This window comes from Homo sapiens, chromosome 11 (assembly GCF_000001405.40).
Source record: "Homo sapiens chromosome 11, GRCh38.p14 Primary Assembly".
NCBI lineage: Eukaryota > Metazoa > Chordata > Mammalia > Primates > Hominidae > Homo > Homo sapiens.
Window position 1 is genome coordinate 77,077,468 of NC_000011.10, and position 25,103 is coordinate 77,102,570.

The 25,103-nt window shown below is 55.8% G+C and overlaps 1 protein-coding gene across 7 annotated transcripts in view, besides 1 other annotated feature; it reads left to right on the top strand.

The window, feature by feature from the left end:
• CAPN5 (calpain 5) overlaps positions 1–25,103 on the top strand; it is a 59,185-nt gene that overhangs the window by 10,497 nt on the left and 23,585 nt on the right. For 5 of the 7 annotated variants that reach the window (NR_189161.1, NM_001425322.1, XM_011545225.1 and 2 more), the window contains 2 exons: positions 7,385–7,584; positions 16,215–16,346. Coding sequence is in view for 6 of the 7 variants with exons in the window: in XM_011545225.1 (XP_011543527.1) it covers positions 7,385–7,584; positions 16,215–16,346 (332 nt within the window). In the remaining variant the exon portion in view is untranslated. Of the gene's footprint in view, positions 1–7,384; positions 7,585–10,474; positions 10,595–16,214; positions 16,347–25,103 lie in introns of all 7 variants that reach the window. The other 2 variants (NM_001425321.1, NM_001425323.1) reach the window with 2 other exon arrangements.
• Positions 9,111–10,059: an enhancer, noted in NCBI's record as "H3K4me1 hESC enhancer chr11:76797624-76798572 (GRCh37/hg19 assembly coordinates)". NCBI's record gives its function as "activates a minimal SCP1, AML or CMV promoter by ChIP-STARR-seq in naive and primed H9 embryonic stem cells {active_cell/tissue: H9 hESC(naive and primed)}" and the evidence as "EXISTENCE:reporter gene assay evidence [ECO:0000049][PMID:30033119]".

A 25,103-nucleotide genomic window follows, 5' to 3' on the forward strand; every position in this document is an offset into this window, starting at 1 on the left:
GTATCTCATTGTGGTTTTGATTTTCATTTCCCTAATGATTAGTGATGTTGAGCTTTTTAATTTTTTTTTTTTGTTTTTTGAGATGGAGTTTCGCTCTTGTCTCCCAGGCTGGAGTGCGGTGGCGCGATCTCGGCTCACTGCAACCTCCACCTCCTGGGTTCAAGCGATTCTTCTGCCTCAGCCTCCTGAGTAGCTGGGTGCCCGCCTGGCTAATTTTTTGTATTTTTAGTAGAGATGGGGTTTCGCCATGTTGAGCAGGCTGGTCTTGAACTCCTGACCTTAGGTGATCCACCTGCCTCGGCCTCCCAAAGTGCTGGGATTACATGCATAAGCCACTGCGCCCAGCCAATGTTGAGCATTTTTTTCATATGCCTATTGACCATTTGTATGTCTTCTGTAGAGAAATGTCTATTCAGATCATTTGCCCATTTTAAAATCAGATCATTAGGGTTTTTTTGCTATTGAGTTGCTTGAATTTCTTATATATTCTGGATATTGACTCTTGTCAGATGGCTAGTTTGCAAACATTTTTCCCATTCTGCAGGTTGTCTCTTCGTTCTGTTGATTGTTTTCTTTGTTGTGCAGAAACTTTTTTAGCTTTATGTAATCCCTTTTGTCTATTTTTGCTTTTGTTGTCTGTGCTTTTGGGGTCATATCTAAAATATCATTGCCCAGACCAATGTCATAACAGCTTTTCCCATGTTTTCTTCTAGTAGTTTCATAATTTCAGGTCTTATATTTAAGTCTTTAGTCCGTTTGAGTCAATGTTTGCATACGATGAGAGATAGGGAAACTTTTATTCTTCTGCGTGTGGATATCTGGTTTTCCCAACACCAATTATTGGAGAGACTGTCTTTTCCCCTTTGTGTGTCCTTGGTACTTTTGTTGAAAATTAATTGACAAATTAAATGTGTGGATTCATTTCTGGGCTTTCTATTCTGTTCCATTGGTCTTTGTGTCTGTTTTTGTGCCAGTACCATGTGGTTTTGGTTACTATAGCTTTGTAGTATATTTTGAAGTCAGGTAGTGTGATCCCTCCAGCTTTGTTCTTTTTGTTTAAGATTGCTTTGGCTATTCAGGGTCTTTTGTGATTCTGTATGAATTTTAAGGACTGTTTTTTATTTCTGTGAAAAATGTCATTGGAATTTTGATAGGGGATTGGATTGAATCTGTAGATTGTTTTGGGTAGAATGGACATTTTAACAATACTAATTCTTATCTACATATACAGATATGTATATGTACATATCTGTATCTTTCCATTTATTTGTGTCTTCAATTTCTTTCATCAGTGTTTCATAGTTTTCAGTGTACAAGTCTTTTACCTTCTTGGTAATATTTATTCCTAAGCATTTCTTTTTTCCATGGTAACTATTGTAAATGGGATTGTTTTCTTGACTCTTTTGAGTAGTGTGTTGTTAGTATATAAAAATGCTACTGATTTCTGTGTATTCCTTCTATACCTATTTTGTTCAGAATTTTTATCATGAAAGGATGCTGAATCTTGTCAAATGTGTTTTTTTAAATCAGTGAGATGATCATATGTTTTTTGCCCTTTATTCTGTTAGTATCGTGTATCACATTTATTGATTTGCATATGTTGAACCATCCTTGCATCCTTCATATAAATCTTACTTGATCATGGTGAATGATCCTTTTAATGTGCTTTTGAATTATTTGCCTTATTATTATTATTATTATTATTTTTCCCTAGAGATTGGGTCTTGCTATCTTCCTGAGGCTCTTGAGTAGCTGGGACTACAGGCATGCACCATCACACCCACCTTGTTTGCTAGTATTTTGTTGAAGGTTTTGCATCTGTGTTCATAAGGCATATTGGCCTATAATTTTCTTTTCTTGTAGTGTCTTTATCTGGCTTTGGTAATGGGGTAATGCTGGCTCTGCTTTTCTATTTTATTTAAATAGAATCATGTAATATTGCTTCTTTTGCTTAATATGCTTGTAAGATCCATCCATAGGGTTGTGTGCAACAACAATTTGTTCATTTTCGTTATTGTTTACTATTCTATTATATGAATATACAAGAACTTATTGATCTGTTCTTTCATTGATGAACATTTAGCTTGTTTCTCATTTTCAGCTCTAACAAATACTATTGCAATAGACATTCTTGTACATGGTTTTTGGTGAATATGTCCATGCATTTCTATTGGACATATTCTTAGAATTACTAGATTATATGAACACATGATTATATTATTTCCTCAGGTTTTCTAGATATAGTCAAATGGTTTCGCAAAGTGATTATACCAATTTGTCCTCCTACCACTAATGCATAAGAGCTCTACTTGAGATTGTGTGTGTGTGTGTGTGTGTGTGTGTGTGTCTGTGTGTGTGTTTCACTTTAGTCATTCTAGTGGGGGTATAGCAGTATCTCATTGTGGTTTTAATTTGCATTTCCTTAATGGTTAGTGAAGTTGGGCACTTTTTCTTCCATTTTTAGACCATTTGAGTTTACTTTTTTTCTCATGTTCTTTTCTAAAAGCATTATTGTTTTACCTTTCAGTTAGATTTGAAATCTATCTGGAATAAGTTTTGTATACGGTTTGAGGTAGGGGTAAGACAACTGTTTTTCCTTATGGATAGCCAGTTGACCCAGCACCATTTATTGAAAAGATAAATCCTTTCCCCAGTGCATTGTGGCATCTCTTTTGTCATATATCAGGTGTCCTTATACTTGTGGCTTATTTCTGAACTTTCTATTCTGTTCCACTGTTCTATAAGACAGTGCCCAGTGAGCTTTGTGATCAGCCTTGTTACTTAGTAGTGTAAGTCCTCCAGCTTGTTCTCTTCAAATGGCTCTGCTTATTCTGGGTCCTTTGTGGCTTTGAGGCCCGTGGTGGCTTTGAGGCCCTCTTGCTGCTGGGCTTGGGCTCAGCTGTGTCCTTCGTTCTTATTATTCCCCTGGGGCTGATGCTGGCTCCATGACCCCATCTCTCAGAGGCTCAGAGAGGTAGGTGACTTGCCCCTCCACACAGCTCTGGAGCCTGGCCTTGGCTTCTGCCTCAAGGACAAATTCCTTGGTGTTCCCATCTACAAAATGGCTTAGGTGGTCCAGGGAAGGCTCACAGGTATCAGCCCGCTGGAAGATGAGGCCTTATTCCATCCTGTACACAGCCAGGCTGTCCCCGCTACCTCCAGCAGGTCCAGGGAACAGCAGACTAGGCCACACAGCCTCCTGGAAGAGGAGTACCAACCATGTCCCAGGTGAGGATAGACTGAGCTTCCCTAAGGCAGGCCTAGGAACAGATGCCACTTTCTTTCTGTCATCTGTCACCTTAGAGGCTGGAACCCAGTAGGGCTCAGAGGAGGCTTGCTGATTGACAGCAGCTCAGAGGGGTTCCCACCTTGCCCAAGGACACACAGCAGCTAAATGATGCAGTTGGGATGCAAACTCAGATCTGACTGACCTGCCAGAAGACTGGGTTCCTGAAGCTCCCTGGTGAGCACCCCAGCCCCCTCATTCTGACCCAACTCAGAACTTCCACTCTTGGTCCACAGAGGCCTCACTGTGCAGGCTGGGTCTGACTCACCGCTGCCCTGGCCACAGGAGGAGGAGGGCTGATACCAGTGAGCCTTCCCTGGAGATGATGGCCAGCTAAGCCATTTTGTAGATGGGAACATCAATGAGCTTGTCCAGAGTCTGCAGCCTCTTATGCAGATCTCAAGCCTCCAGACTCCGTATCCTAGGCTTCTCAAAGCAGGGCCCAGGTTAGCACTGTGCTCATTTTAGGGGGTGCCCTGAGGTGGTAATAAAGATGTCTTTCATACCTCTGAGCCTTTGCGTGAACTGTTCCCTTTGCCTGGAATGGCCTTTCTCTCCTGCCTCTGTGGCCAGGCCTGTGTGGAGGCTTCCCTGCTTTCCTCTTGCTGGAACCTCTGAATGACACATACTTCATTTGGCCTTATGTCTGTTGGCTACACTAGACCAACTCCGACAGGAACCCCAAGTTGTGGTAGCCCCCCCATACCTGGCGGGGGTCTGGACACATCGTGGGTGAAGCCCAGATGTCGACTGCCTGAGACTGTCAGTCCTCAGGGCACAGAGCATGAAAGGATACAGAGTGCTGCTCTGCATGGTGGGGTCTTGTTTGTTCCTCACAGTGGCCCAGAGGCCCTGGCACATTGTCTCTTCCAGACAAGGACCATGCAGACCAGTGAGGTAATGCGGCCTGCTCAGGACAGCGGGGGCCTGGGTCGAGGCTCAGGAGCTGGAGGAGGGCTGGGCCGCAGCAGAATGTGCTAGGGCTACAGTCTGGATAGTGGGGATGTGGGCACCGGCTGGCACCCAGCTGTCAGGGAGGGGAGGAGAGGAGAGCCAGGCCTTCCCCAGGGTGAAGGGGTGGGCCCTGCTGCAGCAGACCTGAGTGCTGGCGTCTGTGATGTGGAAAGCTGATTCCCCTTGGGAGCCTCCGCCACTCTCTGAGCCTTTTTCTCTTCTTGAAGGAATTCCTCCTGCACTCACCTTTGTTGGTTCATGCAACATAACTCCTCAATCCCTGGAGCCCCACATTGGACCCTGGGATAGAGAGAGGAGCTGGACACAGCCCCTCCCCTGGAGGGGCACAGGGTAGGCTGGGGAGGCAGACAAGTCATGTGCAGATGGGATACAGTGTTAACAGGTGCTGTCCCAGGGGCACCAGGATGGCAGAGGAACAGTGTGTGCAGAGGCCCTGAGGGAACAGTCTTGTGGGAGCTGCGAGGAGCTCCGAGCCCCAGAGCTTCAGCCCAGGGTGGAGAATGGTGGGGATGAGACTGGCAGGAGGAGGGAAGAGGGCAGGCACACAGGGCAGCTGGGAAGCTCAGGTGGTCCTGAACCCCACCCAGGGGTCCTGCTCGGCCCAAACAGCTAAAAACACCAGGGAGACAGGAAGTGCTACGGGCCTAAGCTCAGGCTCAGAAAGAAAAGGCCTGGGTGGAGCAGCTTGCCTGCCTCCTGGTCTATCCGTGGCCTTCAGTGCTCTGCCTGGGGCTAGCAGAGGAGACCTGACCCTGTCGGGGTGTTGGCCCCATAGATACAGTGGGAGGTGACCTTGGGGCAGATGGAGGGTGCAGAGGGGCAGTCTGTGCAAGGGCCGGGGCCAGAAGAACCTCACATAAGTAGGCCAAGGTTAGCCTGGCAGGCAGGTGAGGCTGGAGGGATGGGGCAACGGTATCAGGCCCTCAGCCAGCCAGGCCTGGCCCTGTGCAGCCCCTGGCCCAGCCGAGCTCTCCCTTTATGGCCTCCACCTCCCTTCCATCCTCCCCAGGAGTGGACCCTCCCAGCAGCGTTGGCCCCTTCCTAGCCTGGAGAGCAGCCAGACCCTCTTTCTCCACCAGCCTGGCTGTGTGCCCTGGGCGAGCTTCCTCTCCCTCTCTGGACCCTCTAGGCTCAGAAACACTGGAATTGCAAGAGCTGATTTCTGGGCTCCTGCTTTCAGCTTCTCTGATCTAATTCTTGTAGCCTAAATTGCTTCCTGAACTGACCCTGCCGGAAACCCGTGGTGCTAATGCTGCTCCTCGGTGACTCTGCCAGAAGCCTGAAGCCCGGAAGCTGGCTCTGTGAGCTCCTCCCCTCTCTCCCTCAGACCTCCAAGGCAGGGAGAATGGGTGGGAGGGGGCAGGGCTGCTGGCCTCCGTGGGCAGAGGGGCAGCCAGAGAAGTTAAGTGGTTGGCCTGAGGTCACACAGCAGCACTCCAGCAGGCCCAGTATGGATATGGGGGCAGAAGGTGAAGTGGCTTGGGTGCAGAGCAGGGGACAACTGCTCTCAGCTCCCTTGGCAGGTGGGGGGACAATGGCCCCCTTGCCCTCCCTGCTGTCCATCTGTGCCCATGCTCACTGCCCGCGCTCGCCTCTTTCCTTTCCTGTCTCTCCCTTCCCTCTTTCCCTCCACATGAGGCCCCAGTGAGGCTCCAGCTCAGCCACGGTGTGTGGGGAGACCCTAAGTGAGAGCGGCAGGGTCATACAGCCAAGGCGGTGGCACTAAAGTCAGAGGATCTGGGTTCCCGTCCGGACACCAGGTTTCCAGGGGAGCTTGGGCAGGTCACCTCACCTCACTGAGCCGCAGTTGTATTTTGTGAAAGCTGGCAGCCGTGTGCCCACCGGCACTGTTGGCAGGCAGTACACATGCACCTCTGGCCAGGGAAATGGGGCGTCTCTTGGGACCACTGGGTGTCTTGGCCCCTTCCCCCTCACTCCTCTTCCCACTGGCATGCTTGGCGGGCTCCTCAGCCTTCAGTTAATGGGTTGACTCCTTCCAGGAGGTGCAGCAGCACTGTGTAATTCCCATCACTGAGATGAGAAAACGGGCTCAGAGAGTTCACATGACCAGTTCAACGTCACCCAGCAGGAGGGTGGTACCACTGGGGCTGGCACTCACACCAGTCTTGATCTCAGATATCACTCCCACAGCCAGCCTGCCTTGCCTTGGTTTCCCTCAGGGCTGGGCTGGAAATTGTGGCCTTTACCCCAAAAGGATTGCACTGTTACCCTGGGCAGGCCCCAGGAAGAGTAGATCGGGGACTGTGGAGCTGCACCGCAGCCCAGATGGAGTTTGAGGGATGGGGGCGTGGATCATAAATGGGGTGGTCACTCAGGTGCTTGGCCGTCCGAGCATCTCTCAGCGCACCTGATATGCAGGCCCTGCCAGCCGCTGTTCCTTGCCCTGCCCTGCCCTCCACTCCCAGAGGCCTTCCCTGACCATGTTGGTCCAGTCTGTGTCCCTTGCACTTGGTCAGCACATTGGTGCAAAGTTCAGGGTGCTTGGCTGGGCCCACCTGGGCCCCTGGGGAATGGAGGGAGGGTTAAGGAGCCATGGGCCTGCTCTCTACAGAATTAGAGACGCCTATTCCCAAGATGCTGTGAGGAAGGCAGCATGGTGCGGGGAGGACCGGAGAGAATGAATGAATGATGCTGAGAGGGGTACCTGGGGCAAGGTTTTCCCACACCAGGCAGAAATGTGCCACTCTCTAGAGGTGGGGAGGGAAACCCAGAGGCACACGCTGCTTTCCTGTGGGAGACACACCAGCCAGGGAGCTGGCAGGGCTGGCCACTGGTCTGATTCCGTCTGAGGAGGTGTAGGGAAGGCTGGTCAAACAAAGGAAGGCAGGGAGGTAGGTGCGGTGTGGGCCAGGCCTGAGCTCTGTGTGGCCTGTGGGCCTGGTATCGCCTCTGAGCTTCAGAAACGAGAGAATCCAGTCTATGGAGTCAGGCCGGTCGGTGTCTGTCCCACTCTGCTGTATACCAGCTGTGTGACCTTGGGTAGGCTCCACGCCTCGCTGAGCCTTCCGTGCCTGTGCCATGGGGCTGATGATGTCCGCTTCACAGGGCACATCAGGGACCCAGGGACTCTGTGAGTGACCGTCTTCTTGCCTTCCTGTCCAGGTGTTCCCCCTCCCCTCCCTGGGGCAGCAGCCACCATGTTCTCGTGTGTGAAGCCCTATGAGGACCAGAACTACTCAGCCCTGAGGCGGGACTGCCGGCGCAGGAAGGTGCTCTTCGAGGACCCCCTCTTCCCCGCCACTGACGACTCACTCTACTATAAGGGCACGCCGGGGCCCGCCGTCAGGTGGAAGCGACCCAAGGTCAGTGTCTGGTCCCAGCTGGAGCTGGGTGAGCGGGCCCAGGCCCACCCACAAGGCTGGGCCTGCAGGGACATCGGGGTGGTGGGAGGAGGCATCCCTGGCCCCAGGCTGCTGAGAAAGTGAGGGTGCTGAAACGGTGGGATTTGATCCGGATGGGGAGCTTGGAGAATGGGCTGTAATCCTGTGGCCACCACTGGATTGGTTGAGGCCCAGCCAGGCCTTCACCCTCTCAGGGCCTCCACTTCCTCACAGGAAAAATGGGGCAGTAACCTCAGCCCCGCTGAGGGTCATTTTTGGAATAAAAATGGGGTGATGTGGATATGACCATTTTTGATAAAATGTAGATTGACATCCAAATGTAAGGAATTTACTTTCCTGATTGTTATCATCATGATTTTGAAATAGTCATTTGTGGTAGAAATGAAAAGTATTTATTATGATGATTAATCAATAATAATAATAATTGTAAAAAGATAGTAGTACCTACCTCATAGAGTGGTTGTGAGAATTAAAAGAGGTAATGCATGCAAAATTCCACTCACAGCCTGGCAGCCAGTACGGGACCATGGATACTGATAATGATGAACAGGTGGCGTCTCTCCGACCACTCCTTTTGGTCCCTGAGGCTAGAGTGTGTTACACAGAAATGTTTGGCCTCCTGGTGTGATTTCATCCCCTTGAACCCCGATTCCTGGGTGTGAGGGTGGGCTGGGGAGGGGTTCGCTGCTTGTCTGTGGGTCCTGCAGAATGGGGTCCCTGGTGGCCTGGGTGGAGGGGAGGCTGCAGGAGGTTACTCTCCCTGGCCTCCAGGGCTGTGCTAGTGACACTGAGGGTCGTCCCCTCACAATGCGGGAGACCATGCTGCTGTCTCAAGGATGCTCCAGGCTGGGAGGAGGCTGTGACTCCCGCAGCCCAGTAATCAGAGGAGGTGTCTTGGAGGTGAAGGGTGATGAGGTTTTTGCCCAAAGGGCCAGGTGGGAAAAGGCAGAGGGAATAGAAACTCACAGGTGGGAGCCCCTCAGGCTCATGTGGGCCTGTGGAGAGCCATGCCTGGGGTGGCAGATCTGGGGCCAAGATGCTCGACCTTGCTCTGTGAGTAGTGAGGTCCCGCGAAGGCAAAGGCTTTCAGCAGCCTGTAACAGGGTCAGATTTGCATTTTCCAAAGTTCCTCCTGATCCCCTGGGCTTTTTGGGAAAATGAAATGTAGTTTTCTAGTTTCCCTCCCAGGCTATGATCTCGAGTCCCTTCTGACTGAAAATACCCCGTAGATGTCCTTGGACTGGGACTCTTGAGTGGCAGAGAAACTGAGGCCAAGAGAGGAAGGTGCGTGTCCTAGATCACCCATGAGCTGCTAGCAGGGGTAGTTGAAGAGTCCTGCCTCCCTGCACCCCACCTTCCTGGCACCAGATAAAGGGCCCCTGGTGCCCTTGACCTCAGTCCCAAGAGCTGTAACAGAATCTCTGGCCCTGTACTGACTCTCTGGAAGGCCCAGGAGCCTCCTGGCCTGGCCACAAGAGTTCTGCCTCTTGGGCCCCCTCTCCCACGCCTTCCTCTCTTCCTTTGTCAAGTAGGTGGGGAGGGAGGCCTTGGCCTCAAAGGGCCTTTGTGAGGCCTTGGCTGTGGGGAGGAGGGCTGGGCACTCGAGCTCTTCGCCCTCCTCCCACTCCATCCCCTGGCTACCCCCGTCCTGACTCCCTCCTGCCCTCTGGCCATTGCCCAGACATTTTAGGTCCGTGGCTCCGAAAAGAGGCTGGTGAGGCCTGGCGGGAGCAGGCTGGGCTTGCTGCGGTGAGAGGAGGAGACGCCAGGTTGGCCCGCTTGGTACTCTCCTGCTGCGTGACCCAGGGGAGTCAGCTGCCCTTTCTGAGCCCCTTTCCTTGTGGGTTCAGGAGCCATGCCACACCTCCTCCTCTCGTTGCCTTCCTCGCTGGCTCACTTGGTGCCCTGCCCTTTCTAGACACGCAGAGCTGCCCTGCCCTGGATGTGGGGGCAGGTGACAGAGAGCGTATGGTGGCTGGTGTTCAGAGAGCTGTGTGAGTGGGGCCCAAGGGGCAGCAGTGATGGGGACTCAGACCAGGCTGGGGTGGATGGTCCACGGCACTGCCTGGATTTCCTAAACCATGTGTGTAGGCACTGCCTACTGGCTAGCCACAAGCCTGCAGGACAGGCAGCCCCTGCCCCACTAACGGGATGGGAGGTTTGTGGAGCAGGAAGTCAAGCAGGCTTGGCTCAGCTTGCTTGGCGGGCCCAGCCCAGTGGGTTATCATTAACGCCCAGCTGCTTGCCAGTGAGAGGGAACTTTGGCCTCAGGCAGCCTTGTTTCGATGGAGTCTTACCTGTGACCGCCTGTTTACAAATGAGAAGTCGTGCTGCATGCCCGTCCATCCCCTCCAGCTCCTTCTCTGAGTTGGTCCTTATAGTGGCTGCTCTGTTCTTAGAGGGTCTCCTCAGCCAGCCTCCCAGCCTCGCTGCCTCTCAAATGGAATGCAGAGGCTAGTTTTTGAGCCACAGTGAACTTGGCTGCAGCCTTGGCCCTACCTTACTAGAAGTGTGACCTTGAACAAGTCACTCCTGCTTGGGCCTCAGTTTCCTCATCTGTAATTGGGGAAGGATAATTCTTGCTGGTCACAGTTTCTGGAAACCGAAATGACTTGAGGTATCTGTGGTGTCATACACATGGGAGGCAGGTGACAAACTGGTTCCCCTCTCTTGCTCGTCTTCTCCTTGGCAACTTTTTGTTGGGGACCTAGAGCCACCTTGGTTGGGACATCCCATCTCCTATTGACTCTGCAGGTGGGACCAGGCCTTGTCCTCTTGGGTGCCGACCTGGGCACCTGCCTTCAGCCCACACCCTTCACCCACAGGCTCGCTATGTTTTTGTTCTTTCCAGTACAGTGGCCATTCGCTGGCCCCTCACAGGCCTGGCTGGGGAGATGCACGGAGAATGGAGAATGTCCCCAGGCCTGGGAGCTCAGGGTGTCCGTCCTCCTCGCTCAGGGCCCGGGACCTGGTAGGCGGCCTCCTGTCACCCTGTGGGGGCAACATCCCCTCATCCAGCATGCTGTCTCTCCCACATCTGGGTATGAGCCTGGAGGTCCTTTGGTGGAATGCACAGGGGACAAGGTGGGGTGGGGGAGGGGGACTAATGAACAGACACTGGTTTTGGAACCTGCAGAATTCCCCTAGTGCAGTCTCGGGGGCCCCAGCCTCAGCCCAGTCCCGGGGACTCTTGCCCATCAAGCCATTTCCTGGAGATGGCCCTACTCCTCGGCTCCCTGAACATAAGGCCTTTTCGTGCCACAGAACAGTCAGTTTGCAGCAAGGCCTGGCAGCGGGGGCACACCCAGCCGAACTGCCCAGGAATGACCCCCTTCTGGGCATGTGCTCAGAGATGGGGTTCAGTGGGGTCAGGGAGAGCTTTCAGAGGCCTTGAAGGGTGCGGACTGCCATGGAGGAGAAGGAGGTAGGGCTGGGGGAGGGCAAGTCTTCTGCAGAGGGGATGGGCTGTAGGCTACAACTCCCTTTCCAGTCCCAGATGGAAGTCCCGTGTCCTTCCCAGACCTGTTTCCCACTGTCTAGTTCATTCATTCTGTGATCCTAGATTCCAGGAGGGTGGTGACTAGGGTGAAGCTGGATGGACAAAGAGTGGGGGAGGAGGACGGATGTGGAGGGAGCCTCTGCAGATATAGCCCAGGTGCCATGGATCCAGTCTGCTGCCTTGCCTTGCCTTGTACACCAGGAATAGAAACCTGAATTTCTTGTTGTGCCACGAAGGGAGAAGGGAGGTGGGCTGGGCTGTGGCCTGTCAGGTAGAGTTGGTCTAACAGGCTGGGATGGGCTGAGCAGGGGAGCGGTGACTGCAGGTGCAGAATGCTGTCCTAGAGCTGTGTTGCCTGGAGAAATGGTCAACCCCCAGCCCTCAGGGGTAGCCCCTGTACAGCCCAATCCTGTGCACCACTTTGTCCCCCCTCCCTCCCAGGGACCTGTCTGTAGCCCCAGTGGAACCTGCCAAGCTTTGCTAAGCCTAGAAGTGGGCAAAGTCAGGCCTGGGCCCTGCTTAGGAGCTCACAGGCTGGTGGTGGGGACCCTAAGGAAACCTAGAGAGTGTGGACAGGGATGGAAGGGAGCACAGGTGGCTGGCACCAGATAAAGGGCCCCTGGCACCCGAGGACCATTTCGGAGGCAGTGTCTGCCTCAGGACACTTCGGGTCCCCATTTCCCTCCTGAACCTCCCTGCTTACCAGCACTCTCCATGCCTGCTCTGCCAGCATCACTGCCTCCAGGCAGCCTCCTCTGTTTTCTCTCTGGCTCCTGCTGTCACAGCTCTGCTCACATGGGGGGTCAGGGCCTGGCTCCTTCTCAAGATCCCTGCCTGTGGGCAGAGACCTTCCCTGACTCACTCTATGACCTATGTCCAGCCAGTGGCCCAGGAAAAGTGGAAGGACAAACACTAGGCTTGAGAAGCCTGGCCCCATGGTGGCAGAGGTGAGGGCCTGGGCTTCCCCAAACCCTTGGTCTCATTGCTATCTAGTGAGACACCCCCTAAGCTGGGTTAGGACAGGTGCAGGGAGACAGGTGAAGGAAGGATGGCTTTGTCACCCATAAAACCTAGCCCACCTGAGACCAGCCTGGCCAACATAGTGAAACCCTGTCTCTACTAAAAATAGAAAAATTAGCTGGGTGTTGGTGGCAGGTGCCTGTAGTCCCAGCTACTCTAGAGGCTAAGGCAGGAGAATCGTTTGAACCCAGGAGGCGAAGGTTGCAGTGAGCCAAGATCGCACCATTGCATTCCAGCCTGGGCGACAGGGCAAGACTCCCATCTAAAAAAAACAAACAAAAACAAACAAACAAACAAAAAACCTAGTCTACCTGGAGACTGCAGCCAGACTGCCTGAATTTGAATCTCATTTCACCTCTTCTTGTGTGGCCCTGGGCAAGTGACTTAACCTTTCTGTGCCTTGGTTTCCTCATCCGTAAAAAGGGGATGCCAACAGTGCCCATCTCACAGGGTTGTTTTGCACAGTGCCTGCCACATAGCAGGTGCCCAGTCATTGTGAGATATTTCTATTATTGTTCCTTTACAGGTGCCCCAAGGTGGCCCCTGGATTCCAGAGCAGACTCCAGGTGCCACCAACCTCAGGTGGTTTCTGTTGGTTAGAGCTGGTGACCCTGAGCCTCTCCTGGCAGTGGGAACATGCCTGGCTGCCTTCCGCTCTGTCTGCTCCTTCCCAGGCTGCACGATTGCCCCCAGGTTCCTGCTCTGCCACAGCAAGTCAGGGTGATGGAATCTGGGAATCGTGACTCCCAAGCTCGGTCTGTCTCTCAAGGACTGGAGAAGTGTCTGGGGCCAGAGCCCTGATCTGGGGCCCAGATCTGGTTGGATCTGCACCTCGGGTCTGCCCCAGCTGTGGTGCTTAGTGTTGGGAGACCCTGGTTGGGAGCCCAGCAGACCTAGGGCATCCCATCGGATCCGTCCACTTACTTGCCTTGTCACCTTGGACATCACTGCGCTGTCCTGGGCTCAGCCTCCTCCTCTCTGGGATGGGGCAGTTGTGTGTCTGTCTTAGGACACTGGCTGGGAGGATCTGAAGTGGAGGGACACCTGAGTCACTTCCTGCTGTAAACCCTGGTGATGCCAGGTGGTAGCTGTTTCTCTTTCCATGGCATGATGTGGCTGGGGTCCTCCGTATATGGAAGCCCCTCTCCCTTCCCGGTCTTGCCTGCCCTCCTGGCCTCAGGGAACAGATGCTAAGTCATAGCTCCCTCTGGGTCAGAGGATGGGCTGGATGTGGGGTGTGGTCCAGGGCTGGGAGGGAAGACAGGAGGGCAGCGGGGAGGAGAGGGAAAGTCCCTTCTTCCTGCCTGTGCTTCCTGACGGGGTGCCGTTGGGGATGGATGAGACCAGGCGGCCTCACTGGGTTTCCTAGACCTGTGCTCTGCAGAAGCCGCCGTGCAGGTTGGCCGTGGTGCACCCTGTAGTGCCAACTGGAAGGAGGGGCCAGGTCTCAGGAGCTGCTCATGCCCTTGGGGGAATTCTAGCCCTTTCTCTGACCCTCTAAAACTCTGGTTCTTCCGGGCAGAGGGGACAGCAGGGTCCCCATCTTGGTGGGAACTAGGAGCCCTCTTCCCCATTCTCCCTTGCAACTGCTCTGCTCCACGATCTGTAGAGTCCCTACACAGCCCTGCTGGGATGACCATTTATCTCCTCTGCACAGGTGAGGCCCAAAGTTGCACAGCAGGGAGCAGACATTCAAATTCGGTCTTCCTGCCTCTGCCACCCTCTGCTGGCCGCCTGTGGTAGGACCGCAGAAGCTCTTGGGATGGAACTAGCTCAGGAGCGCCTGCTGGAGTGGAGGCAGGCAGAGGGCTGCTGCCATCTGCCCATGCTGTGTGGCGGGGACATGGTATTACACCTCCCTGGGCCTCAGTTTCCTTATCTGTAAAAGGGGATATTGCCCACTTCTCAGTGCCTTGGTGAGGATGGATTGTGGTGTCAGCAGGATGCCTGGTACATGAAAGGCATGTCTCAGTGTTTGCCTGTCCCCACCCTCCACCATACCCACAGCCACTGGGGAGCAGTGGCTTCCTCAGCTCAGTGAGGCGATGGGAGAGGAAGAGGGGCCTGCTCTGTTCCCTGGGCCAGGGCTAGGGATCAGGCCAGGCCCCACCCCCAGCTCAGGCCTTGGGGAGGGATGATTACAGCTGAGGGAACACAGGGTGAGCTGACCCTTCCTGGTTGCATCTCTTGGTGCTGGAGCCACCCATAGAGGTCTGGGCATAGCTTCCTAGCACCTGAAAATTGAAGGAGACTTTCATTCGCTTTGGGTCAGGCCCTGGGCTTGATACTTTACATACACTGATTCCTCCTCGCAAAGTAGAAATTATTGGCCATGCACATTGGCTCAAGCCTGTCATCCCAGCACTTTGGGAGGCTGAGGCGGGAAGATTGCTTGAGCTCAGGAGTTTGAGACCAGCCTGGGCAACATAGTGAGACCTCATCTCTACAAAAAATTTAAGAGTTAGCTGAGTGTGGTGTGTGGGCCTACGGTCCCAGCTATTCGTGAGGCTTAGGCCAGAGGATCGCTTGAGCCTAGGAGGTTGAGGCTGCAGTGAGCTGTGATTGTGACTGCACTCCAGTTTGGGTGACAGACGAGACCATGCCTCAAAAAGACAAAAACAAAAACAAAAAACCCCAAAATCCAACAACATAAAGAAATTGTTGTTTCTATTATATAAATCAGAAAGCCGAGGCTCAGAGAGCTCGCCAGATTGCCGATTGAGGAGCTGGAATTCAGTCTCCAGTCTGAAGCCAAAGCCCATGCTTTTCCCTTTCACAGCACTGCCTCAGGGGGCTTTTAAGGAAAATACCCCCACAGCAAGAAGAGGTGGAAAGCCCAGGCCAGAGCTCCTTGGGCAGGGTCAGGTGCAGAGGGCACCTGGTACTGGAGCCCCCCTGGGCTGCCTCTCTCTTGGCAGGCAGAGCAAGGGGCTTCCAGAAATTAGGAAGGGCTGAGCCTGAGAGCAGCCAGTTGCTCATGGATCATTCCCGGGTCAGCGGCTGCCCTGGCCGGATTCCCTGGCTGCGTCTCATGGAGCAGCCTCTTGGGCCGTGCCCACCAGTCTCTGTAGAAAATAAAAATGGAGGCTGGGCGCAGTGGCTTATGCCTGTAATTCCAGCACTTTGGGAGGCCGAGGCCAGCAGATCAGGAGTTTGAGACCAGCCTGGCCAACATGGAGAAACCCTGTCTCTACTAAAAATATAAAAATTAGCTGGGCGTGGTGGTGGGTGCCTGTAATCCCAGCTACTCAGGAAGGTGAGGCAGGAGAATTGCTTGAACCCAGGAGCTGGAGGTTGCAGTGAGCTGAGGTTGCACTACTGCATTCCATGCACTCCAGCCTGGGCAAAAGAGCGAGACTGTCTCTAAAGAAAAAAAGAAAGAAAAAAGGAAAAAAAGGAGTTTTTGCTCCACTTGAGCATTTGCTTGCTGTGTGCCTTTGACAAGTCACAGTCCATCTCTGAACCTCCATTCCTCGCCCATACAATGGAATGACAACTCCTCGCTCCTTGGGTGGCGTGAAGACCTGATGAGATTATGCGAGGCAAGTGCCATGCGGGGCCTGGCCCACCGCTCCCCACTGGCCCCTCGCTTTGTGCTCCCCAGCTGGGATATGGGTGTTTGTCCCATGCCCGCACCCCCACCCCACTTGAACCTGCTGTACCCCTGTGGGCTGGCGGGGGTGGGCACTCAGGCTGCTGGTGCTAGAGAAGGAAGGGAATGGAGCTCTTGCTGGTTAGGGAGGGGCGCAGCGGGTAGGAGGAAGGCAGTGCCCCGGGTCCAGCGCTCTGACGTCTTCCCACAGGTTCTTCATCAGCAAACCTTTAGCGGAAGAGCACTCTCTGGCCAGGAAGGGGAGAGGGCATCCCAGGCAGGACCGCGGGGTGGGGGGCAAGCGGGGAGCAGATGGGCCCTATGGGGCCCCAAGTCTGTGGTGGGAGGCAGGTGAATCACCATGCTGATGATCACACAGCAAGTCTGTGTCTGTCACGTCTGTGTCTGTCATGTCTCCTGCCATGGGGGGCATCCGCATGCTCCTCCGCCCCTCACGCTCTCTCCTCGCCTTCTCCGCAGGGCATCTGCGAGGACCCCCGCCTCTTTGTGGATGGCATCAGCTCCCACGACCTGCACCAGGGCCAGGTGGGCAACTGCTGGTTTGTGGCAGCCTGCTCGTCACTTGCCTCCCGGGAGTCGCTGTGGCAAAAGGTGAGGCCTCGGGCAGAGTGGGCAGGGTGCTGGGGAGTGTGAACGCAGCCTGTGGCCCTCACTGCCAGACAGGCGGAACCTGATTGTGGCAGATGAGACTTTCAAAAGCCTGTGCCAGGGATGGGGTGGGGGCCCCCAGTACTGGCCGAGCGTCGGAATTGCCATCCCTCACCCTTCAGCTGGGCACCCCCAGGGGCAGGTGCTGGGAATCCGTCAGGCTCCCAAGGTCATTCTGATGTGTCCCCCCCAACACTGTTGGGGACACTTGGCAGATTAATACACACCTGTGAAATGTGGAAGCTGTGTGCATCACATTTAGTGTGCAGACACCACTGATGGGGCTCAGGAGACCCCTGACAGACACAGACCTGCTGTGTGACTCAGCTGGTTGCTGTCCTCCTCTGGGCCTGACTTTTCCCAGTTGTTCAGCAAGGGTGGTTTGGTGATCCCCAGCTTCATGACTCCCAGTTCCAAGCTGCTGGTGTTCTGGACCAGGGCCAAAGGGTTTGGGTGGGAAAGAATGGGCTCTGGTCCTGCAACCCAACCTCCTATCCCAGCACAGTTCCAAGCTGCTGGTGTTCTGGACCAGGGCCAAAGGGTTTGGGTTGGAAAGAATAGGCTCTGGTCCTGCAACCCAACCTCCTATCCCAGCACTTGGCAGCAGGGCCTTAGATTCCGTGCACAGGAGGCAGGGAGGCTGGAGTGGAGGCAGACCCTGGCTCCCTGAAGAATTATTGGCAGGGACTGCAGGGGGACTCTGGTCATTGCCCCTTGCTCATCCCTGCCCTTCTGCCATCCCTTGGGAGGGGCTGGCAGTGGGGCTGAGGAGCACTGGACATCTGCATCTCCCAGGCTTGGCAGTGAGCCTCAGCACTTGGTAGCTTTGGAGCTGGCCTCAGGTTACTCATCAGCAAAATAAGGACAATCGGAGTAGCTGTCTCTCGGGGAGTGGTGAGGATAGGACCAGATGCTGCACTCAACATGCCTTGTGCGGCATCGTGCTTGGCCAAAGGTGGCTGTGCCTACCAGCATTATGATAATTAATATCATAGAACATACAGGTACTCCTGTGCAAGACAGAGTTTTTCCTCATCCTCTGAGGTATCCCTTGGCCATCAGAGGGAGCAGTGCCCTTGGGCAAGGCTGAGACTCTGGTAGGTGTCTTGCTCTTGAGTCTGCAGAACGGGGATGTGACCTCTCAAAGCCACTCCAGGGTGGGCATCCCTGGGGCCTAGCCCCAGTAGTCCTGCAGGGTAGGAGCAGCTGCCTGCTGTAGGGCCCCTGGGGCCTTGGCAGAGGCCATGGTTGCGGCGTGTGGATGTGGGTATTCGAGGGGCACCTGAGCCAGGAGGGCTTTCGAGAGCCACCCGTTGGCTCATTTCAATTCTACGCCTCAAGGCCCAGAGAGGGCTGGGGCCTGGTTCTGTGCTCTGGGTGTAGGGCCAGTCCTCACTCTCCAGCTTCCAGGCTCCCACCCCCTTCTCTGAGCTCAGAACAAGGTCCCCCTGCCTTAGAGCCCACCCCCCCACTAGATGAGGGCTCAGTCAGGGGCTGAAGGGGCACATGGGCATTCTGTAGGGCTGCCCCCCACCTCCCACTTTGCCCTGCAATTGCCTGTTTATCTTTCACCTCCCCCGTGAGGTGAGCTCCCCACAGGCAGAACTGGCCCAACGTATATGTCCCTGCTGAGCCCACTAGGGACCTGGAGTAGAGAAGGCTCAGGAGAGTTTTGGGAACAGAGCTCCTTTCCAAATTGTTGGACTCAGCTACCACCCAGCAGCCCCACGGTCGGCCTTGCTCCCCCAGACCTCCCAGGGCCTTGTGGTGCTGGGCCTGACTCCAGTCTCCCCAGGAGAGGCCATCTGTCTGGCCGTTTGTAGGTGGGAGCCTATGTGTCCTGCCCTGGGCTTGGGCCCAAGTGGTTCCTGGTGCAGCTCCACCTCTCAACAGTGAAGAACAGGCCCAGGACTGCAGGCAGGAGGCCTGTCATTGAGGCCTGTGTTTATCTGTGGGCCAAAGGTTCCTATTGCAGGGAGTTGGGGCACCTGGCCTGGCTGGTCTGGGAGGCTGCCAGGGCCAGGAGGCTGATCTCCTACAGCAGCTTGGGTCCCAGGGAGGCCAGGGCGGGTCTGGGCGCTCCTGGCTAATTGCACTTTGCCTCCTGTGCTGCTGTGGTGCTATGGGTCCCGGAAGGAGGCTCGGGGCCCTGCGGAGCTCATTACTGCGCCTTCCGTCCCTCGTCCCTGTTGACTGGGCTCTGTTTGTTGTCACCCCTCACTTTCTGGGCCTGTTGCCCTGCAGGGCCTCCTTGTTTTCTCCATGGAAGGGCAGTGGGGGGGCTGCCGAGCCTGAGCTGCACCCCTGCCCTCCCCACCTCACACTTGGGGATTCTGAGCCTCAGACACACTGAGCATCACATCCTCGACACACACGCCCCCAACACACACGCCCCCACAGCAAGCCACCCTTACCCCTCACAGGATTCGAAGCCAGCCTGACCTGGATTTGATTCTGGCCGGGTCTCCTGCTAGCTGTTTTCGTCCTCAGTGTAAATTGACCTTTCCAGTGCCCAGGGTCGTGGAGGATTAAAGGGGCCGGAGGAAGGCAAACCCTTGCCTTTTGCGCTCTCTGCACTTGTTACTTTCCCTCCCCAGCCCCCTCTTAGATGGCCCACCTGTTTCTCTGTTCTGTCAGACATCTCTTGGCCTCCTGCCCTGCTCCTACGGGATCCCTGATGGGGGCATTTTAGCTTCCCCGACTTGATGGTACATTCCCTGAGGGCAGGGCAGTGGACTTCAGGTGACCAGGTTTTAGGAACTTGAAATCAGGTTGCGACAGTTTGGCTGAACATTTGCCATTGGTCCTGGCCTGGCCTAAGCCAAGATCTGCTGTGAGCTCACCTCTCTGGAGCCTGGAGCAGCCACAGGGGCAGACCTGATGCCTGCTCTGAGCCACAGAGCCGGGCCTGGGCCCAGGAGGAGTCAGGCAGCTCCTGGCCAAAAAAAAGCATGGAAGTGACCAGAGTCCCAGTCGAATGCCTGGGTGTCTCTAGGAGGGAGTGTTGGGGTGAGCAACCCTGGGTGGGGCCTGGGAGGGGCCAGTGGAGGCATTTAAAAATGCCTCCCACAGCCAGGCGCGGTGGCTCACGCCTGTAATCTGAGCACTTTGGGAGGCTGAGGTGGGCGGATCACGAGGTCAGGAGATCAAGACCACCCTGGCTAACATGGTGAAACCCCGTCTCTACTAAAAATACAAAAAATTAGCCAGGCGTGGTGGTGGGCGCCTGTAGTCCCAGCTACTTGGGAGGCTGAGGCAGGAGAATGGCGTGAACCTGGGAGGTGGAGCTTGCAGTGAGCCAAGATCATGCCACTGCACTCCAGCCTGGGCTACAGAGCGAGACTCCATCTCAAAAAAAAAAATTAAAAAGTGCCTCCCACTATGTCCCTGACCGGGTTATATTAGCAGTTCCTGCTCTTTAGTTATCAAGCAGTTCCCTTAGTGCACATGGATGGAGCACCAGCTATGCCCTGAGAACCATAGTAGGTACTGGGGACGAAAGGCTTGAAAAAGTACAAGGATGTACAAAGTCACTTAAGGCTTTCATTCATCAGACACGATCAGTGTTAAGGGGTTTCCTGTGTTTCCTTCTAGTTTTTTTTTTTTTTTTTTTTTTTTTATTGATAATTCTTGGGTGTTTCTCACAGAGGGGGATTTGGCAGGGTCATGGGACAATAGTGGAGGGAAGGTCAGCAGATAAACAAGTGAACAAAGGTCTCTGGTTTTCCTAGGCAGAGGACCCTGCGGCCTTCCGCAGTGTTTGTGTCCCTGATTACTTGAGATTAGGGATTGGTGATGACTCTTAACGAGCATGCTGCCTTCAAGCATCTGTTTAACAAAGCACATCTTGTACCGCCCTTAATCCATTTAACCCTGAGTGGACACAGCACATGTTTCAGAGAGCACAGGGTTGGGGGTAAGGTCACAGATCAACAGGATCCCAAGGCAGAAGAATCTTTCTTAGTGCAGAACAAAATGAAAAGTCTCCCATGTCTACTTCTTTCTACACAGACACGGCAACCATCCGATTTCTCAATCTTTTCCCCACCTTTCCCGCCTTTCTATTCCACAAAGCCGCCATTGTCATCCTGGCCCGTTCTCAATGAGCTGCTGGGCACACCTCCCAGACGGGGTGGTGGCCGGGCAGAGGGGCTCCTCACTTCCCAGTAGGGGCGGCCGGGCAGAGGCGCCCCTCACCTCCCGGACGGGGCGGCTGGCCGGGCGGGGGGCTGACCCCCCCACCTCCCTCCCGGACGGGGCGGCTGGCTGGGCAGAGGGGCTCCTCACTTCCCAGTAGGGGCGGCCGGGCAGAGGCGTCCCTCACCTCCCGGACGGGGCGGCTGGCCGGGCAGGGGGGCTGACCCCCCCCACCTCCCTCCCGGACGGGGCGTCTGGCCGGGCGGGGGGCTGACCCCCCCACCTCCCTCCCGGACGGGGCAGCTGGCCGGGCGGGGGGCTGACCCCCCCACCTCCCTCCGGGACGGGGCAGCTGGCCGGGCGGGGGGCTGACCCCCCCACCTCCCTCCCGGACCGGGCGGCTGGCCGGGCAGAGGGGCTCCTCACTTCCCAGTAGGGGCGGCCGGGCAGAGGCGCCCCTCACCTCCCAGACGGGGCGGCTGGCCAGGCGGAGGGCTGACCCCCCCACCTCCCTCCCGGACAGGGCGGCTGGCCGGGCGGGGGGCTGACCCCCCCACCTCCCTCCCGGACGGGGCGGCTGGCCGGGCAGAGGGGCTCCTCACTTCCCAGTAGGGGCGGCCGGGCAGAGGCGCCCCTCACCTCCCAGACGGGGCGGCTGGCCGGGCGGAGGGCTGACCCCCCCACCTCCCTCCCGGACGGGGCGGCTGGCCAGGCGGAGGGGTGACCCCCCCCACCTCCCTCCCGGATGGCACGGCTGGCCGGGCGGGGGGGCTGACCCCCCACCTCCCTCCCGGATGGGGCGGCTGGCCGGGCGGGGGGCTGACCCCCCCCACCTCCCTCCCGGACGGGGTGGCTGCTGGGCGGAGACGCTCCTCACTTCCCAGATGGGGTGGCTGCCGGGCGGAGAGGCTCCTCACTTCTCAGACGGGGCGGCTGCCGGGCGGAGGGGCTCCTCACTTCTCAGACGGGGTGGTTGCCAGGCAGAGGGTCTCCTCACTTCTCAGACGGGGCGGCCGGGCAGAGACGCTCCTCACCTCCCAGACGGGGTCTCGGCCGGGCAGAGGCGCTCCTCACATCCCAGATGGGGCGGCGGGGCAGAGGCGCTCCCCACATCTCAGACGATGGGCGGCCGGGCAGAGACGCTCCTCACTTCCTAGATGTGATGGCGGCTGGGAAGAGGCGCTCCTCACTTCCTAGATGGGATGGCGGCCGGGCGGAGACGCTCCTCACTTTCCAGACTGGGCAGCCAGGCAGAGGGGCTCCTCACATCCCAGACGATGGGCGGCCAGGCAGAGACACTCCTCACTTCCCAGACGGGGTGGCGGCCGGGCAGAGGCTGCAATCTCGGCACTTTGGGAGGCCAAGGCAGGCGGCTGGGAGGTGTAGGTTGTAGTGAGCCGAGATCACGCCACTGCACTCCAGCCTGGGCACCATTGAGCACTGAGTGAACGAGACTCCGTCTGCAATCCCGGCACCTCGGGAGGCCAAGGCTGGCGGATCACTCGCGGTTAGGGGCTGGAGACCGGCCCGGCCAACACAGCGAAACCCCGTCTCCACCAAAACCAGTCAGGCGTGGTGGCGCGTGCCTGCAATCGCAGGCACTTGGCAGGCTGAGGCAGGAGAATCAGGCAGGGAGGTTGCAGTGAGCCGAGATGGCAGCAGTACAGTCCAGCTTCGGCTCCACATGAGAGGGAGACCGTGGGGAGAGGGAGAGGGAGACGGAGAGGGAGAGGGAGAGGGAGACGGAGAGGGAGACGGAGAGGGAGAGGGAGAGGGAGAGGGAGTTCCTTCTAGTTTTTTTTCCACTTGGTGTTAAAGAGGATTTTGCTTGTTTTGGTTTTTTTTTGAGTTGGAGTTTCGCTCTTGTCACCCAGGCTAGAGTGCAATGGTGCGATCACGGCTCACCGTAACCTCCACCTCCCGGGTTCAAGTGATTTTCCTGCCTCAGCCTCCTGAGTAGCTGGGATTACAGGCGCCTGCCACCATACCCGGCTAATTTTTGTATTTTTAGTAGAGATGGGGTTTCACCACGTTGGCCAGGCTGGTCTCAAACTCTTGACCTCAGGTGATCCACCCGCCTCGGCCTCCCAAGGTGCTGGGATTACAGGCGTGAGCCACTGTGCCCAGCCTTGTTTTGTTTTTTTATATGCATTTTTGCAATTACATCTGCAAGTTTAGAGCTTGCTTTTCTCCTCTGTATTCATTGCTACATCCAGCCTTGGGTGGGTCCTCCCAAGGTGTCCGATGGCTGAGCAGAGGTCTGTGGACATCAGTGGGCCCTGTCCCCAGCTGCAGCCTCCTGCATCCTGCCTGCTCCCTTGCCCACAAGCCTCAGTCCACCCCCTCTGCCTCCTCCCCTCCCTCTTCCATTCCTTTTCCCCCCAGGCCTTCCCTTGGCTCCCACCGCTCGTCCCTCCCGCCCAGTCTGTGAGACTCAAGCTCCCGTCACAACTGCCCCCCACCTTCGGCCTCCAGAAGGTCGGTGCCCCTCTGCTCAGACCCTCCCCAGGGGTCTTGTGCCCCTAAATCCTCATCAGTAGAAGTTGATCACACCCACCTCATCCCATCCCTCAGGATCCAGAAATAGGGGATCCTCCTTCCCAGTGCTGCCCGGACCACAGCGTCCCCATACAAGCACTTGGCTCCTTCACTGGACTCCCACCCTCAGCCCACTGTGTTGCTGTCTCCACCAGCCAGCTGCCCTGGCCAGTCACCTGGGCACAAAGGGCTTGGTTCCTGCCATTTTCCAGCCCATTCTACCCCAAGAACTGCTGTGTCCCAGGCTTTACTGTGTCCATGTGGCTAACGTCCTGCCCTCTCGCTTTGCCCTTTTACCCTTGTCTTAGTTCTCCATCTCCTTTCTATCAGCCTTCACCTTCAGCCGCCTCAGTCACCTGCTGCCATGCCACAGCCCGGGCCCGGAACTGCTCTCCCTGGAGGTCTTCAGCCAAAGGCCCAGTCTCTCTGACCTCACCTTCCAGCCATCTTGCTCACTTCATTTTGGCCCTGGCCAGTACCTGTGTACTGTCTCCCCACCTGCCCACCTTCCTCTTGGCCTTGGGCTTGTGTCCCGTGGTCCATCACATCACCTGTCCCTTGTCAGTGTCATTCACTCATTCATCCGTTCATTCATTCATTCATTCGATCATTCGTTCATTCATTCAACAAGCATTTCTGAGGCCTCTGTGTGGCAGGCCCCGTTCTGGTTGCTGGCCTAGAGTAATGACAAGACACACTTCCTACCCTCTCAGGACTGTGTGTCACAGGCAAAAACTGAGCAACTCAACAAATAAAAAGCAGAATGTGGTGCTGGGAAGGTTAGAAACAGCTCCCCCATGTGGAGGAAAGGGAAGCCTCCCATGGTAGTTCCTTAGCCAAGTTGTTCCCCTCTCCCCTGCCCCTCCAGCTACAAAGCAAAAGGTTCTGTGAGGATCAGGCAGTTTGACATCTAGCTGTATGGTTCTCTCAAATACCCTTGGGGGAATTTCTGCCAATGACCCCCAGAACTGACCCCAGGGCTTGCAGTGTGGTTTTAACAGGACCGGGTATTCTGTCTCCCTTGGTGCCCCTCTGCTGTTCAGGTAGCCCAGGATCCCACTGATTGATTAGCCACCATCTCACAATTGACCGTGCTTGTGGTCCACTAGACCCTTCAGATTGTTTTCCGTTGTGATACCTTGGCCTTGACTCTGTCCTCTTTTCTGTGTGTGGCGTGTTGTGGCGACGGCCGCTCCCCAACTCCCATCCCCACTCTCTCCCCAACTCCGGCTCCACTCACACTCCAGTTCTTTCATTTCCCCAGTATAAAGGCTGAGCTTCTGGTTCCGCCCCGGGCCCTGGGGATATAAACATTTGCCAGATTCTTCCTCGGCCCCTGGGGGAAACTGAGGATTAATTCAGGTGGAGTAAGTGGTGGGATTTGGGTAGAAGTGAAGCCTTGTCCTGTTGTGGCCATGGTGCAGGGCTGCGGCACAGCCAGCCATCAGTGTCATCCGGGTCAGTAATGCTCAAGGCACAGTCCCTGGCCCAGCAGCATGTCACCTGGGAGGTGGTTAGGAATGCAGATTCTCAGGCCCACAGAGCCCTGATAAACCAGGAGTTCTGGGAGGGGGTCCAGCAATCTGTGTGTTAAGTCCTGAGAGTGAGTCTGATGCTCACTCAAGTCTTGAGAACCACGGGTCTGGGTGAGAGATACGGTAGCTGGGCTGAGATCCTGTCAATGGGACTGGAGGGGAAGGGTCCCGGGGTGTTTGGGAAGCAGAATCGACAGGCTTTGGTGATTGGGTGTGGAGGAGTGAGAGGGAGGCGGGCGTCAGGGGTAGCTCCAAGGTTTAACTTAGGTGACTTCAGATCTCCAATCACCAAGCCCTCTCTGGTCCTGCCTTCTCCACCTGCTCCTGCGGGTCTTGCATCTTCTCCTGTGTACCTCCAGTGAGGAGTGGTCCCCACCACCCTCCCCATCAGTGCACTTACGAAGTGCTCTCATCTTCACAAACAAGCCAGCACCCAGCCCAGCCCTGGTAGTCAGGGCGGTTGCCACAGCAATTGACATCAGCGACCTGG